This window comes from Homo sapiens, chromosome 18, assembly GCF_000001405.40.
Source record: "Homo sapiens chromosome 18, GRCh38.p14 Primary Assembly".
NCBI classification, from domain to species: Eukaryota; Metazoa; Chordata; class Mammalia; order Primates; family Hominidae; genus Homo; species Homo sapiens.
The window spans coordinates 12,374,670-12,392,201 of record NC_000018.10 but is presented as its reverse complement, the minus strand read 5'-3'; the positions used below and the strand labels follow the sequence as shown (position 1 = coordinate 12,392,201).

Sequence of the window (17,532 nt, the reverse complement as noted above, 5' to 3'; positions counted from 1 at the left end):
CTAAATGTTCTGCAGTTGTCATTCATGAAACGTGCATTGGTAGCACCCTGGCATCAGTGACATCATTCATGGTTTTACTCATTATCATCTGGAAAATAGCAACTGGGCATTGTGTCTTTTCTATTCCTTTACCTGAGGCCCATTGCCAGGAACAGTAGCACAAACCAAGACCACCACTGGAAAAGATTATGTCAGCTTCACTTTATAGAAAACACAGCATTAGGTTGTTCGTGGAGATGAACTATGAACAATAGAAAAATTATTTTTTGAAAAATCCAGACCAGCCTTGTGAACACATCTGAAGGTTTTCTGGAAATGCACGGCGTTGTCTAGAGATGTATAGGGCTCTCCTGACGCCTAGTGGGGAACCGTATGCAGCACAACTCTGGGTAGCGAGCCCAAGCCCTAGCCACAAAACACAAATTATTTTCTAAAAACTAATGTTTACCAGGCAATCTCTCTACTAGGAAACCATCCTCTGAATGGAAGCTGGCACATGTGTATATATGCATGTACCAATAAGAATAATTGGCTGGGTGCGTGGGCTCATGCCTGTAATCCCAGCACTTTAGGAGGCCAAGATGGGAGGATCACTTGAAGCCAGGAGTTCAAGACCAGCCTCAGCAGTATAGTGAAACTCCAACGTTACAAAAAATTTAAAAATTAGCCAGCTGTGGTGGCGCAGGCCTGTAGTCACAGCTATTTGGAAAGTTGAGGCTTGAGCCTGGGCATTCAAGGCTACAGTGAGCTATGATCGTGCCACTGCACTCCAGTCTGGGTGACAGAGCAAGACCCTGTCTCAAAAAAAAAAGCTCACGGTGGCTTCTGAAATAAAAAGAAATGAGAATTAGTCTAAATGACGCTTGGTGAGAAAACTATTAAAGCTTTACAAGAGAATACAATAGAGTTTATTAATGCCTTGGGGGAACTATATGTTATTAACATACAAAAATATATGTTAAACAAAAGAAAAAATCAAGATGCATAAAGTACACGTTCGTTCATGTAAAAATAAGTTTTTTTTTTTTTGTTTGTTTGTTTTGAGACAGAGTCTTACTCTGTCACCTAGGCTGGAGTGCAGTGGCACCATCTCGGCTAACTGCAACCTCTGCTTCCCGGGTTGAAGTGGTTCTCAGGCCTCAGCTTCCCTTGTAGCTGGGACTACAAGCGCATGCTACCACACCCGGCTAATTTTCTATATTTTCAGTAGAGGCTGGGTTTTACCATGTTGGCCAGGCTGGTCTCAAACTCCTGGCCTCAAGCAATTCACCAGCCTTGGATTTCCAAAGTGCTGGGATTACAGGCATCAGCCACCACACCTGGCCTAAAAATTAGTTCTATATGCTTGCAAATACATATAAAATGTATGGACACACACACACAGAAAAAACTACCTAGAAATTTACCTTTAAAGGCCAGGCACCATGGCTCATGCCTATAATCACAGCACTTTGGGAGGCCAAGGCAGGTGGATCACCTGAGGTCAGGAGTTAGAGACCAGCCTGGTCAACATAGTGAAACACTAAAAATACAAAAATTAGCCGGGCATGGTGGCAGGTGCCTGTAATCCCAGCTACTCGGGAGGCCAAGGCAGGAGAATAGCTTGAAATCTGGGAGGCAAAGCTTGCAGTAAGCCGAGATCAGCCACTGCACTCCAGCCTGGGCGACAGAGTGAGACTGTGTCAAAAAAAAAAAAAAAAGTCCGGGCGCGGTGGCTCACGCCTGTAATCCCAGCACTTTGGGAGGCTGAGGTGCGTGGATCACGAGGTCAGGAGATCGAAACCATCCTGGCTAACACAGTGAAACCCCGTCTCTACTAAAAATACAAAAAAATTAGCCAGGCATGGTGGTGAGCACCTGTAATTCCAGCTACTTGGGAGGCCGAGGCAGGAGAATAGCTTGAAATCTGCGAGGCAAAGCTTGCAGTAAGCTGAGATCAGGCCACTGCACTCCAGCCTGGGCAACACAGTGAGACTCCGTCTCAAAAAAAAAAAAAAAAAGAAAGAAAGAAAGAAAGAAAGTTACCTTTAAGATGTGAACATGAGAAATGAAGATACTTTTACTTTTCATTTTGTAACTTTGTTTCTGTCCACACTGATGAAAAAAAAATTTATACTGAACTTTTTTTTTATTTTGAAAGACAGAGTCTTGTTCTGTCACCTAGGCTGGAGTGCAATGGTGTGATCATAGGTCACTGCAGCCTTGAATTCTGGGCTCAGGCAATCCTCCTGCCTCAGCCTCCTGAGTAGCTTGAACTACAGGCCTGTACCAGCACACTGAGCTAATTTTTAATTTTTAATTTTTTTTTTTGAGATGGAGTCTCGCTCTGTCACCCAGGCTGGAGTGCAGTGGTGCGATCTCGGCTCACTGCAAGCTCCGCCTCCCGAGTTCATGCCATTCTCCTGCCTCAGCCTCCAGAGTGGCTGGGACTACAGGCACCCGCCACCACGCCCGGCTAATTTTTTGTATTTTTAGTAGAGACAGGGTTTCACTGTGTCAGCCAGGATGGTCTCAATCTCCTGACCTCGTGATCCACCCGCCTTGGCCTCTCAAAGTGCTGGGATTACAGGCGTGAGCCACCGCGCCTGGCCATGCGTGGCTAATTTTTGTATTTTTAGTAGAGGCCGGATTTCATCATCTTGGCCAGGCTGGTCTTGAACTCCTGACCTTGTGATCCACCCGGCCTCAGCCTCCCAAAGTGTTGGGATTACAGGCATGGGCCACCGTGCCTGGCGGTTTTTTTTTTTTTTCTTTTTTTTAGACAGAATCTCACTGTGTCTCCCAGGCTGGAGTGCAGTAGCTTGATCTTGGCTTACTGCAAACCACCCCCTCCCGGGTTCAAGTGATTCTCCTGCCTCAGCCTCCAGAGTAGTTGGGATTACAGGTGCGTGCCACCATGCCTGGCTAATTTTTGTATTTTTAGTAGGGATGGGGTTTCCTCATGTTGGCCAGGCTGGTCTTGAACTCCTGACCTCAAATGATCCGCCCACCTCAGCTTCCCAAAGTGCTGGGATTACAGGCATGAGCCACTGCACCTGGCCTAATTTTTAAATTTTTTTGTACAGACGGGGATCTCACTGTGTTGCCCAGGCTGGTCTCAAACTCCTGGCCTCAGGCCATCCTCCCCACTTGGCTTCTCAAAGTGCTGGGATTCTATAATCCACTGCACCTGGCCCCATCCTTATACTGAACCTTTTATATTTCAACATTTTACATTTTCTTGCTCGTAAAACTATTATACATTTATTATAAGATATTTGGAAAATATACATAGTCATAAAATTATTTTTTCAAAAGTACTTGTAATCTCACTCAGCACTGAAAAAAATAACATCCTTTAATAGTCTTAGATTGTATTATATTTTATTTGAATAGGTAATATTTTCACATGGTTCAATAAGGTAAACACTGTGAAAAAGCACACACCGAGAAGCTCAGACAGTCCACACCATCCTGCCTGCTGTAGGCAGCCACCTTCATTAGTCTTGCACACTCTATCAACCATCCCCCCAGCCCCTGGCAATCCCTAATCACCGTCTTCCGTCTCCATGGATTTGCCTGTTCAGCATATTTCATATGTATAAATGCAATCTTATAATATGTGGTCTTTCATGTCTGATTTCTTTGTTTCCAAGGTTTATCCATGCTATAGCATGTATCAGGTCTTCATTTTATGGCTGAATAATAATCCATTGTAATAATACACCACATTTCATTTTATCCATTCAGTTGATACATATTTAGGCCCTTTCTGGTTTTTGGCTATCATGAATAATGCTGCTATGAACACAGCATATGTACCTTTGTTATGAACACATGTACAGGTTTCTGTGTGGATATATCCTTTCAATTATCTTGGGAAGATGCCCAGGAGTGGACATGCTGAGTCATATGACTATGTTTAACCTATGAAAATTGACAGTTTTCCATAGACCTACTAGCGTGAGGGTTCCAATTTCTCCACACTCTTGATAATACTTGTTATCTTTATTATGTATACATCTATATTATTTTGTACTATCTATAGTATTTTTGATTGCAGCCCTCCTAGAGTGTGAAGTGGAATCTCGTGGTTTTGATTTGACTTTCATTGACAGCTAATGATGTTGAGCCTCTCTCTATGTGCTGGTTGGCCATTTGTATGTCTTCTTCGAGGACATGTCTATTCAAGTCCTTTGCCCATTAAAAAAATAGCTTCAATGAGATATCATTTATATACCATATAGTTCATCTATTTAAAATGTTGAAATTAATGGTTTTAGGTCATTCAAAGAGCGGTACAACCATCACCACAATTGATCTTAGGACATTTTGATCACCTTGGAAAGAAACCTGAAACCCTTAGCTAGCACCCTTCCCAATCCCTCCCCTCCCTCCATCAACCCTATATAGCCACTATCTGCTTCCGTCTCTATAGATCTGCCTATTTGGACATTTTATGTAAATTGATTCACACACTATGTGGCCTTTTTGTGTAGCATACTATTTTCAAGATTCATTCATGTTTTCTTTTCTTTTTGTTTGTTTTTTTTTTTTTTTTTGAGACGGAGTCTCGCTCTGTCGCTGGAGTGCAGTGGCACGATCTCGGCTCACTGCAAGCTCCGTCTTCCGAGTTCATGCCATTCTCCTGCCTCAGCCTCCCGAGTAGCTGGGACTACAGGCGCCTGCCACTGCGCCTGGCTAATTTTTTGTATTTTTAGTAGAGACGAGGTTTCACCGTGGTCTCGATCTCCTGACCTCGTGATCCGCCCACCTCGGCCTCCCAAAGTGCTGGGATTACAGGCGTTTTTTTTGAGACAGAGTCTCACTCCGTGGCTGAGGCTAGAGTGTAGTGGCGTGATCTTGGCTCACTTCAACCTCTGTCTCCCAAGTTCAAGTGATTCTTGTGCCTCAGCCTCCCAAGTAGCTGGGACTACAGATGTGCGCCACCATGCCTGGCTAATTTTTGTATTTTTAGTAGAGATGGAGTTTTGCCATGTTGACCAGGTTGGTCTTGAACTCCTGGCCTCAAGCAATCCACCCGCCTTGGTCTCCTAAAATGCTGGGACTACAGGCATGAGCCACCGCACCTGACCTCTTTTCTTTTTTTTTAATTGAAGCATTTTTTTCTTTTTTATTGTGCTAAAAATTTACAATATAAATTTGTCATTTAAACCATCTAAATATACAATTTGGCTGGGTGCAGGGGCTCATACCTATAATCCCAGCTCTTTGAGAGAATGAGGTAGGAGGGTTGCTTGAGGCCAGGAGTTTGAGACCAGTGTAAGCAACATAGTGACACCCTATTTCTGCAAAAAATTTAAAAAACTAGCCAGGTATAGTGGTGTGCACCTGTAGTCCCAGCTACTTTGGAGGATGAGGTGGGAGGATCACTTCAGCCCAAAGGTTGAGGCTGCAGTGAGCTATGATCACACTACTACATTCCAGTCTGGGTGACAGAGTAAGACTTTGTCTCTAAATAAATAAGTAAATAAATCAATCTAATTTCGTATATGGTGTGAGGGGTAAGGCTCCAACTCATTCTTTTGCATCCAGTTCTCCTAGAACCATTTGTTGAAAAGACTATTCTTTCTCTATTAGATGAACTTTGCATCCTTGTCAAAAATTAGTTGACATGTATGAATTTACTTCTGGATTCTTAATTATATTCTGTACGTCTATATGTCTGTCCTTATGCCAATACCTACAGTTTTGATTTTATGAAGTTTTGTAAATGAGAAGTATGAATCCTACAACTGTATTCTTTTTCAAGGTTGTATTTGGGGCCCTTTGCAATTCCATATGAATTTGAAGATTGCATTTTCATGTCTGCAAAAAGAAAAAGAAAGGAAGGAAGGAAGGATGGATGGAAGGAAGGAAGGAAGAAAGAAAGAAAAGAAAGAAAGAAAGAAAGATAAAGAAAACAAGCAAGCAGGCAGGCACTTAGAGTTGTGACTGCACTGAATCTGTAGATGGCTTTGGGCAGTTTTGCTATCTTAACAATATTGTTTTCCAATCCACTAACATGGAATACCCTTTCACTTATTTAAGTCTTCTTAAATTTCTTTTTTTAAGATGAAGTCTCACTCTGTTGCCCAGGCTAGAGTGTGCAGTGGCATGATCTCCGTTCACTGCAACCTCCACCTCCCAGGTTCAAGAGATTCTCCTGTTTCAGCCTCCCAAGTAGCTGGGACTACAGGCGTGCACCACCATGCCCAACTAATTTTTATATTTTTTTAGTAGAGACGGGGTTTCACCATATTGGCCAGGCCGGTCTCGAACTCCTGACCTCGTGATCAGCCCGCCTCGGATTCCCAAAGTGCTGGGATTACAGGCTGAGTCAGGAGAATGGCTTGAACCCAGGAGGCAGAGGTTGCAGTGAGCTGAGATTGTGCCACTGCACTCCAGCCTGGGTGACAGAGCAGCAAGACTCCATCTCAAAAAAAAAAGATAAATAAAATTGACAAAACTTATTTATTTATTTATTGAGATGGAGTCTCGTTCTGTAGTCCAGGCTGGAGTGCGGTGGCGCGATCTCAGCTCACTGCGAGCTCCGCCTCCCGGGTTCACACCATTCTCCTGCCTCAGCCTCCCAAATAGCTGGGACTACAGGCGCCCGCCACCACGCCTGGCTAATTTTTTTGTATTTTTAGTAGATACAGGGTTTCACTGTGTTAGCCAGGGTGGTCTCAATTTCCTGACCTCGTGATCCACCTGCCTTGGCCTCCCAAAATGCTGGGATTACAGGCATGAGCCACCGCACTCGGCCAAAGTTGACAAATCTTTAACTAGACTGACAAAGAAAACAGGGAGAAGTTGCAAATATCTAAAATCAGAAATAAAAGTGGGGTAACTACTATTGACCTTTTACAGGAAAAGGATTAGAGCTAGGCATGGTGGCAAATGCCTATAGTCCCAGCTACTTGGGAGGCTGAGGCAGGAGGATCACTGGAACCTGGGAGTTTAAGGCTTGTGTAAGCTATGGTCATATCACTGCACTCTGGCCTGGGCAATATAGCTAGACATGATCTCCTTTTTTTTTAGATGGAGTCTTGCTCTGTCACCCAGGCTGGAGTGCAATAGCGAGATCTCGGCTCATTGCAACCTCCACCTACCGGGTTCAGGAGATTCTCCTGCCTCAGCCTCCTGAGTAGCTTGGATTACAGGTGCGTGTCACCATGCCTGGCTCATTTTTGTATTTTTAGTAGAGACAGGGTTTCATCACATTGGTCAGGCTGGTCTCAAACTCCTGACCTCATGATCTGCCTGCCTCGGCTTCCCAAAGTGCTGGCATTACAGATGTGAGCCACTGGGCCCGGCCTATTTATCTTTTTAAGAACCAACTCCTGTTTTTGTTAATTTTCTCGATTGCTTTTCCTCTTTTCTATTTTATTTATCTCTGCTCTAATCTTTATTATTTTTTTCCTTCATCTAGCTTTGAGTTTAGTTCGTTCTTTTTCTATTCCCTCAAGGTGTAAAGTTATTGATTTGAGATCTTTCTTCTTTTTAAAATGTAGCTATTTACAGCTATAAATTTCTGTTTGAGAACTGCCTTCACTGCATCCATAAGTTTCAGCATATTGTGTTTTTATTCTCCTTTGTCTCGCAGTATTCTCTAATTTTCCTTGTGATTTCTTCTCTCAGTCATTGGCTATTTGAGGGTGTGTTGTTTCACAGCCACATATTTGTGAGTTTTCCAGTTTTCCTCTTGTTATTGATTTTTAACTTCATTCCAATGTGGTCAGAGAAGATAGTTTGCATGATTTCAGTCTTTTTAAATCTATTGAGACTTGTTTTGTGGCCTATCATATGGTCTATCCCAGAGAATGTTTCCTGTGCACTTGAGAAGAATGTGTATTCTGTTGTTGGGAGGAGCTCTGCATATACGTCTTGTAGGTCTAGTTGGTTTATGGTTTATTTTATTTTATTTTTTTTGAGACAGGGTTTCACTCCCTTTGCTCAGGCTGGAGTGCAGTTGCATGCTCTCTGCTCACTACAAGCTCTTCCTCCTGTGCTCAAGCAATCCTTCTGCCTCAGCCTCTCAAGTAACTGGGACTACAGGCATGCGCCACCATGCCTGGCTAATTTTTTTATTTTTAGTAGAGACAAAGTTTCACCATGTTGGCCAGGCTGGTTTTGAACTCCTGAACTCAAGTGATCTGCCTGCCTCAGCCTCTGAAAGTGCTGGGATTACAGGTGTGAGCTATAGTATTGTTTAGCTGGGTGTGGTGGCTCACATCTATAATCTCAGCACTTTGGGAGGCTGAGGCAGGAGGATTACTTGAGCCCAGGAGGTCAAGGTTGCAGTGAGCTGTGATTGTGCCACTGCATTCCAGTCTGGATGACAGAGCAAGATCCTGACTTAAAAATACAACATGGCCGGTTGCAGTGGCTCACGCCTGTAATCCCAGAACTTTGGGAGGCTGAGGCAGGTGGATCGCCTGAGGTCGGGAGTTCAAGACCAGCCTGACTAACATGGAGAAACCCTGTCTCTACTAAAAATACAAAATTAGCTGGGCATGGTGGCACATGCCTGTAATCCCAGCTACTCGGGAGGCTGAGGCAGGAGAATCACTTGAACCCGGGAGGCGGAGGTTGCGGTGAGCCGAGATCACGCCATTGCCCTCCAGCCTGGGCAACAAGAGCAAAACTCCATCTCAAAAAAACAAAAACAAAAACAAAAAAACCACAACACACACACTCACACACACACACACACACACAGTCCTCCATTTCCCAATGATCTTCTGTGTAAATGTTATATCCATTATTAAAAGTAGTGTATTGAAGTTTCCAGCTATTATTGTAGAACCATCTATTTCTACCTTCAATTCTATCAATATTTGCTTCATATATTTTGGGGGCTCTGTTGAATGGTGTGCATATGTTTATAATTGTTATATCTACTTGATGAATTGATCCTTTTGTCAGTATATTATGTCCTTCCTTGTGTCTTATAAGAGTTTTTATCTTTTTTTTTTTTTTTTTTTTTTGAGACTGAGTCTCTCTCTGTCACCCAGGCTGGAGTGCAGTGGCGCAATCCGGGCTCACTGCAACCTCTGCCTCCTGGGTTCAAGCAATTCTCCTGCCTCAGCCTCGTGAGTAGCTGGGATTACAGGTGTGTGCCATCATGCCCAATTAATTTTTGTATTTTTAGTAGAGATGAGGTTTCACCATGTTGGTCAAGCTGGTCTCGAACTCCTGACCTCAGGTGATCTGCCTGCCTTGGCCTCCCAAAGTGCTGAGATTAGAGGCATGAGCCACTGCACCCAGCCAAGAGTTTTTATCTTAATGTGTTTTTATTTGATATTAGTATAGCCATCTTATCTCTTTTTTTTTTGAGAAGGAGTCTCACTCTGTCACCCAGGCTGGAGGGCAGTGGTGCGATCTCTGCTCACTGCAAGCTCCGCCTCCCGGGTTCACACCATTCTCCTGTCTCAGCCTCCCAAGTAGCTGGGACTACAGGCACCCGCCACCACACCCAGCTAGTTTTTTGTATTTTTTAGTAGAGACAGGGTTTCACCGTGTTAGCCAAGATGGTTTTGATCTCCTGACCTTGTGATCCGCCGGCCTTGGCCTCCCAGGGATTACAGCCGTGAGCCACTGCGCCCTGCCTCTTATCTCTCTTTTAATTACTATTTGCACAGAATATCTTTTTCCATCCTTTATTTTTAACCCATTTGTGTCTTTGGATATAAACTGGGTCTCCTGTAGACAGCATACAGCTGAATCATGTTTTTTTTTTTTTAATCATTTGGCCAGTCTCTACCTTTTGAATGGAGAGTTTAATCCACTTACACTTAAAGTAATTACTTATTTATTTATTTTTTTGAGACAGGGTTTCACTCTGTTGCCCAGGCTGGAGTGCAGTGGTGTGATCTCAGTTCACTGCAACCTCCTCATCCTGGGCTCAAATGATCCTTCTGCCTTAGTCTCCCAAGTAGCTGGGACTATAGGCATGTGCCACCATGCCTGCCTTATTTTTGTATTTTTTGTAAAGATAGGGTTTTGCCATGTTGCCCAGCCTGGTCTTTAACTCCTGGACCCAAGTGATCCACCTGCCTCAGCCTCCCAAAGTGCTGGGATTACAGGCATGAGCCATTGCGCCCAGCCCTAAAGTAATTGAAGATAAGAAGGAAGGACTTCTAACATTTGCTACTTGTTTTTTGTATGTCTTTGTATTAGTCATGGTTTTCTGGAGAACAGAAGTAATGTGATGCATATATATGATATATATTTATAAACATGAATATATGTTAAATATATAAATATACAGAATATGTACAAAAATATGTTTATACTTATAAACATATATGTACAATTTATGTTTATATTTATAGACTATATATGTAAAATATATAAAAATGTATATGCTTATATAAAATTATTTTATATATCCATATAAACATAATATATGTAAACTATATTTATATTTATTTACATATAAAATTATATATAAACCTATATTTTCAATAAATACATAAAAAGAAATATATAAATATATTTACATCTCTCTATATTGTATACAATATATCTTTATATATAGGCTGGGTGCTGTGGTTCATACCTGTAATTCCAGTCCTTTGGAAGGCTGAAGCAGTAGGCTGCTTGAGACCAGGAGTTTGAGACCAGCCTAGGCAACATAGTGAGACCCTGACTCTACAAAAAATTTAAAAATTAGATGAGTGTGGTGGCAAGGACCTATAGTCTTAGCTACTTGGGAGGCTCAGGGAGGAGGACTGCTTGAGCCCAGGAGTTTAAGGCTGCAGTGAGCTGTGATTGTGCTGCTGTACTATAGCCTGGGTAACAGAGGGAGACCCTGTCTCTAAAAAAAAGTACATATATGAATGTGTGTGTGTGTATATATACATATATATATATGTATATATAATTTTTTTTTTTTTTTTTTTTTTTTTTTTTTTTTAGAGATGGAGTTTCACTCTTATTGCTTAGGCTGGAGTGCAATGGTGCAATCTCGGCTCACTGCAACCTCCGGCTCCCGGGTTCAAGTGATTCTGCTGCCTCAGCCTCCCAAGTAGCTGGGATTATAGGCATGCGCCACCATGCCCGGCTAATTTTGTATTTTTAGTAGAGATGGGGTTTCTCCATGTTGGTCAGGCTGGTCTTGAACTCCCGACCTCAGGTGATCTGCCAGCTTGGCCCCCTGAAGTGCTGGGATTACAGGCGTGCTTCTACTTTCTTATCCCTAAGTACCATCTTACCTGTGGGTTTTTTGGTAAAAATTATTTATCCAGTTGAGTAAGTTCCCCTCTATTCGTTAGTTTACAGAGAGTTTTAATCATGCATGGGTGTTGGAGTTTGTTAAATGCTTTTTTTTGTTGCATCTATTGATCATGCGATTTTTCTTCTTTAGCCTATTGATTTGATGGATTACATTCATTGATTTTCTGATGTGGAACAAGCCTTTCATATCTGGGATAAATCCCACTGGTTGTGGTATATAGCTCTTTTTATACATTGTTTGATTTGATTTGCTAATATTTTGTTGAGAATTGTTGCAACTATATTCATGGAAGATATAGGCTTATAGTGTTTTGTTTTGTAGTTTGTTTTTCAGTAATGTCTTTGTCTGGTTTTAATATTAGGGTAATGGCCTCATAGAAAGAATTGAGAAGTACTTCCCCATGTTAATTTTCTGGAAGAACTTCTTTAGAATTGGTATTATTTCTTCCTTAAATGTTTGGTAGAATTTCTTAGTTAAGCCATCCAGGCCTGGGGTCTCCTTCATGGAAAGGTTTTGTTTTGTTTTTGTTTTTTTGAGATGGAGTTTTGCTCTTGTTGCCCAGGCTGAGTGCAATGGTGCTAACTCCACTCACCGCAACCTCTGCCTCCTGGGTTCAAACGATTCTCCTGCCTCAGCCTCCCAAGTAGCTGGGATTACAGACGTGTGCCACCACGGCTGGCTAATTTTGTATTTTTAGTAGAGACGGGTTTTCTCCATGTTGGTCAGGCTGGTCTTGAACTCCTGACCTCTGGTGATCAGCCTGCCTTGGCCTCCCAAAGCACTGGGATTACAGGCGTGAGCCACCACGCCCAACCCATGGAAACGTTTTTAACTACAAATTCAATTTATTTAATAGATGTAGGACTTTTTGTGTTGTCTTAAAAGTGAGCTTTGGTAACTTGTATTTCACAAGGAATTTGTATAGTTCATTGTTCAAATTCATTGGCGTATATTCTATTTTCATTTTAATATATGTAGAATGTGAAGTCATGTCAACTTTCTCATTCTTGGTATTGGTAATTTGTGTCTTTTTTTTTTTTTTTTGAGATGGAGTCTCGCATTCCAGGCTAGAGTGCAGTGGCGCGATCTTGGCTCACTGCAATCTCTGACTCCCAGGTTCAAGTTATTCTCCTATCTCAGCCTCCCGAATAGCTGGGACTACAGGTGCTTGCCACCATGCCCGGCTAATTTTTGTATTTTTTTTTTTTTTAGTAGAGATGGGGTTTCTTTGTTCCTTTTTTTTTTTTTTTTTGAGATGGAATCTCGCTCTGTCACCCAGGCTGGAGTGCAGTGACACAATCTTGGCTCACTGCAACCTCCGCCTCCTGGGTTCAAGCGATTCTTCTGCTTCTGCCTCAGCCTCCTGAGTACCTGGGACTACAGGCGCACGCCACCACACCCAGCTAATTTTTGTATTTTTAGTAGAGACGGGGTTTCACCATATTGGCCAGGCTGGTATTGAACTCCTGAACTCGTGATCCGCCCACCTCAGCCTCCCAAAGTGCTGGGATTACAGGCGTGAGCCACCTTGCCCGGCCTCTCTCTCTCTTACTTTCTTTCTCTTTCTTTCTCTCTCTCTCTCTCCTTTCTTTCTCTCACTCTCTTTCCTTCCTTGTTTCTTTTTCTTTCTTTTTTTGGCCTGCTTGCTGGTCTCAAACTCCTGACCTCAGGTGATCTGCCTGCCTTGGCCTCCCAAAGTGTTGGGATTACAGGCATGAGCCACCGTGCTGGGCCAATTTGTGTCATTTTCTTTTTTCCTGATTGCTCTGACTATTGATCTTCTCAAAGAACACACTTTGATTTCATTCATTTCTCTATGTCTTTTAGTTTTTAATTTTATTGATTTTTACTTTTATCTTCTTTCTGTTCTTTGGTTTTACTTCATTTTCTGTCTAGTTTTTTCTTTTTTGAAGCCGAGGTCTTTGTTTTGCCCAGGCTTGTCTGGAACTCTTGGGCTCAAGTGATCCTCTCACCTCAGCCTATTTCTGATACTGATTTCTAATTTAATTTCATTGTGGATAGAAAATATGTTTTATATGACTTGACTCCTCTTAATATTTTTATGGCCTACAATATGGTTTATTTTGATAAGTGCTCTGTGAAAACTTGAAAATAATGTGTATTCTGTTGTTATGAGTAGTTTTCTATAAATGTCTATTTGATTTAGTTGGTTGTGTTTAAGTCTTCTATATACTTACTATTTTCCTGTCTAATTGTTCTGTCAATTATCAAAAGAAGGATTTGAAATCTCCAAATATAATTGGAAGTTGTGGTTCTGTCAGTCTTTGCTCCATGTATTTTAAGCTTCTGTTAATGGGAACAAAGATGTTTAGGGTTGTTATGTCCTACTGATGAACTGACCCCTTTATAATAATAATAATAATAATAATAATAATAATAATAATTCTCTTGGCCAGATGTGGGTGGCTCACATCTGTAATCCCAGCACTTTGGGAGGCTGAGTCAGGAGGATTGCTTAAAGCCAGGAGTTTGAGACTAGCCTGGGCAACAAAGTGAGACTTCAACTCTACACAAAATAAAAAAAGTCGAGTGTGGTCGAGCGTGTGTGGTCCCAGCTACTTGGGAGGCTGAGGCAGGAGGATCCCTTGAGCCCAGGAGTTAGAGGCTGCAGTGAGCTACGATTGCACCATGGCATTCCAGCCTAAGTGACAGACTGAGACCCTGTCTCTGGAAAAGAAACCCGATCCTCTTCATCCTTAGTGATATTCTTTTCCCTGCAATTAATTTTCTTTGGAATTTCCTTGCCCTAAAATCTATTTGTCTACTCAGTTTTCTTTTGTGTGAGCATGGTATGATGGTGTATCTGGTATATCTTTTTGTTATTGTTTTACTGCCACTGGGGTAATCACAGGACTCACCTGGTTTTGTCTCCTGTCTCTCAAGGATTACTGTCCTTTGCCTGAGGTCCAGCGTCGCCAGCCTGGGCGACAGAGCGAGAGCCCGTCTCAGAAAAACCCCCAAGTCCCCCACCTCAGTTCAAAGACCTCTCCTTTTTCCTCCGCTGTCACGGTACAGGAAACAATGTGTAGTTTCCACTACCTGGAAGACTCGACTTGCTCTCCGAGAACCAGTTCCCCGACAGGGTTCCTAGAGCGCAGGCTGCACGGCACAGCCCCAACATTCCCTGCTGCTTGTGAATCTTCGCATCGCCCTCCCAGGGGTCAGGAATGTGTGCTTCGGTGTCTCCAGAGCCTAGCACCACCCCATGACTCAGCTGGCGCTCGGAGGGTCCTTCCATCTGCCGCCGCTGGGGCCTTCGCTACTTCCCCCTCGCTCCTACTGGCTGGCCCACCCGGCTGCCCAGGCTCGGAAGCCCAGGATCCCAGTCACGCGTCTCCCCTTAGTCCCCGCCTCCAGCCACGCCCCCCACACCCCTCCGTCGGCCCCGCCTCCAGCTCCTGCTCGCTCTCCTAGTCCTTCCTCGGCCCCACCTCCAGCCACGCCCCCCACGTGCGCCATCAGCCCCGCCCCCAGCTCTCGCTCGCCCTCCCGAGTCCTCCCTCGGCCCGGTCCCCGCCTCTAGCTCCCCCTTGCCCTCCAGGGTCCTTCTCGGCCCCGCCTCCTGCCGCGCCCCCAACGCTGCTCCGTCGGCCCCCGCCTCCGGTCCCGCCCCCATGCTCCTCCCATTTGGTCCTGTCTTCTGCACTGGCGGAGGTCGCGGCGGGCCTCGGAGAGGAGACGCCGACGTCAGCGCGCCGGGGCGGGGCTGGCGGCAGGAGACGCCGCGTTGAGAGCTTGGGCTCCTCCGTGAGCCGCCGGCGCGCTTCGCTGCCTGGCGGCCTTTCCCCGAGCCGAGCCCGCTTCCCGAGGCCGCCAGTCGTCGCCTGCCCGCGCCTGCGCAGCGTCCCGGGCCGAGAGGGCCACGGCGGCGGCCATGGCGCACCGCTGTTTGCGGCTGTGGGGCCGGGGCGGCTGCTGGCCCCGCGGCCTACAGCAGCTCCTCGTGCCTGGCGGCGTGGGCCCGGGCGAGCAGCCCTGCCTCCGGACGGTGAGTCCTACCTGGGCGCCCGGCGCCCTCCACCCTGCCTCGGGCCCACTTCCGGCTCGGGAGAGCGGACGTCAAGGTCACTGGCCCCCGCCCTCCGGCCGCACGCGGGCCGTCCCTGCCGAGGGCCTGGGCGCCCTGCGCTGTCTCTCAGCCGGCCCCGGGAGCGCCGATTCGCGCTCAGCCCTGCCTGTGGGATTCAAGTTTTGAAAACGCGCAGCTTCAGTAGAGCCGGGTTTTCGCGCTTCACCGGGGCGGTTGAAGCCTCGAAGGTCATGTTGGCTTGGTGGCCGTCCTTGTCCCCGCTTTCGTGTCCCCGGAGCACGGAACGAAGGCGTCTGTAATTTTGAGTCAGCAGCACGAGCACGATGTAGTCGCAAGGACGGGTTTTGGAGTCGGGCTGCCTAACCTCTCCGAGTCTCCGTGTTCCCGTCTGTTGAATGGGGCCATTGCGGGCATTCCAGGACTGGCAGTATTAGCTATTATTATTAAGAATGTCACCTTTTCATAGCAGGGACTCTGTGTTCGTTGCATATCAGGGCCTGCTCTCAGCAGGAGGCTCTTTCTCTGTTGGTAGCCATCCCTCTAGATACACACACGGGACCTGATACGTGTTTCTGACATAATGATAGAGTGTTGACAGAACCATGGCCGTGATCAGTCTCAATGAAAGGTTCACGTGTCGAATAGTCGCTCTCACTGTTTAAGTGACACGGTTCCTCAGCCTTGCACTGGTGTACGGGTGGTGGTTGAGGTCCCCGGGTCGGCCACGGGAACCTGGCTTGGCCTCCTGCTATCCCAGCGCCCTTGTAGTCAGCTCAACGTCTTCACTGTAAGGGGAGATAGGCTAGTGCCGGGGCTCACGCCTGCGATCCCAGCACTTAGGGAGGCCGAGGCGGGAGAATCGCTTGACTCCAGGAGTTGGAAACCAGCTTGGGTAGGGTAGCAGACCCTCCGATCTACGATTTTTATTTTTATTTTTATTTTTTAAGAGACGGGGTTTTGCTTCTTCGCCCAGGCCGGAGTGCAGCGGCGCAAACACAGCTCACTGCAGCCCCAAACTCAAGCGATCCTCCCGCCTCAGCCTCCGGAGTATCTGGGACTACAGCACCGTGGTTGATTTTTAAAAAGTTTCTGGAGAGGCCAGGCGCGGTAGCTCACGGCTGTAATCCCAGCAGGCGGGTGGATCACGAGGTCAGAAAATCGAGATCATCCTGGCTAACACGGTGAAACCCCATCTCTACTAAAAATACAAAAAATTAGCCGGGCGTGGTGGCGGGCGCCTGTAGTCCCAGCTGCTCGGGAGACTGAGGCAGGGGAATGGCGTGAACCTGGGCGGTGGAGCTGGCAGTGAGCCAAGAGCGGGCCACTGCACTCTAGCCTGGGCGACAGAGCGAGACTCCGTCCCAAAAGATAGGGTTCACCATCTTGCCCAGTTGCCCAGGCTGGCCTGGAACTCCAGGACCCAGGCGATCCTCCCGCCTCCTCCTCTCAAAGTGTTGGAATTACAGACCTGAGCCACAGCTCCTGGCCTCTACAAATTGTTTTTTTTTTTTTTTTCTTACCTGGGCTCAGTGACTTATGACTATAGTCCCAGCAACTCGGGGGGCCAAGGCGGGTTGCTTGGCGCGGGAGGTTGAGGCTCCAGTGAGTTTTGATTGCATTGCTGTACTCCAGCGTGGGTGACGGACTCTGTCTCCTAAAAAAAAAAAGAGCGGGGGTGGGGAGGGGGAATAATAGTGCCTGCATTCATGATTTTTACTCCTTGAGGCTCCCTTGCCAGTCTTAAATCAATTTCTTCGCCATGGTCACGCCACGCTGCCGTGTGGTAGGTCCTTTTTCGGTTTCCTGTATCCATTTCCCTGTTTTACCAAGCTCTGATCCCTTTTCTTTTCTTTTCTTTTTTTTTTTTTTTTGAGACAGGGTCTCGCTCTGTCGCCCAGACTGGAGTGCAGTGGTGTGATTTTGGGTCACTGCAACCTTCGCCTCCAGGGTTCAAGCAATTCTCCTGCCTCAGCCTCCCGAGTAGCTGGGATTACAGGCGCCCGCCACTACGCCTGGCTAAATTTTGTATTTTTAGTAGAGATGGTGTTTCACCTTGTTGGCCAGGCTGGTCTCAAACTCCTGGCCTCAAGCAATCCATTTGGCCTCCCAAAGTGCTAGTATTACAGACGTGAGCCACCTTGCCCGGCCTGACTGCTTTTCTTTTGCTGCTCATGAATATTGGATTCAGACATACAGTTCCAGGTGGGGATCTGCATTGTGAGTTTGCAGTTTTATGTCAGAAGTGTTACCCAAAGGC

The 17,532-nt window shown here is 45.6% G+C and overlaps 1 protein-coding gene across 2 annotated transcripts in view, besides 4 other annotated features; it reads left to right on the top strand.

Moving 5' to 3' along the window:
* Positions 13,677 to 14,206: an enhancer, noted in NCBI's record as "H3K27ac hESC enhancer chr18:12377995-12378524 (GRCh37/hg19 assembly coordinates)". NCBI's record gives its function as "activates a minimal SCP1, AML or CMV promoter by ChIP-STARR-seq in primed H9 embryonic stem cells {active_cell/tissue: H9 hESC(primed)}" and the evidence as "EXISTENCE:reporter gene assay evidence [ECO:0000049][PMID:30033119]".
* Positions 14,207 to 14,738: an enhancer, noted in NCBI's record as "H3K27ac hESC enhancer chr18:12377463-12377994 (GRCh37/hg19 assembly coordinates)". NCBI's record gives its function as "activates a minimal SCP1, AML or CMV promoter by ChIP-STARR-seq in primed H9 embryonic stem cells {active_cell/tissue: H9 hESC(primed)}" and the evidence as "EXISTENCE:reporter gene assay evidence [ECO:0000049][PMID:30033119]".
* Positions 14,207 to 15,410: a biological region, named in NCBI's record as "H3K27ac hESC enhancer GRCh37_chr18:12377463-12377994".
* Positions 14,511 to 15,410: a silencer, noted in NCBI's record as "silent region_9311". NCBI's record gives its function as "represses an Ori minimal core promoter by ATAC-STARR-seq in GM12878 lymphoblastoid cells {active_cell/tissue: GM12878}" and the evidence as "EXISTENCE:reporter gene assay evidence [ECO:0000049][PMID:35858748]".
* Positions 14,975 to 17,532, top strand: part of AFG3L2 (AFG3 like matrix AAA peptidase subunit 2) — a 48,284-nt gene continuing 45,726 nt past the window's right edge. For both annotated transcript variants that reach the window (XM_011525601.4, NM_006796.3), the window contains exon 1: positions 14,975 to 15,233. In XM_011525601.4, the coding sequence (XP_011523903.1) occupies positions 15,120 to 15,233 (114 nt within the window). In that variant the 5' untranslated portion in view covers positions 14,975 to 15,119. The remainder of the gene's footprint in view (positions 15,234 to 17,532) is intronic.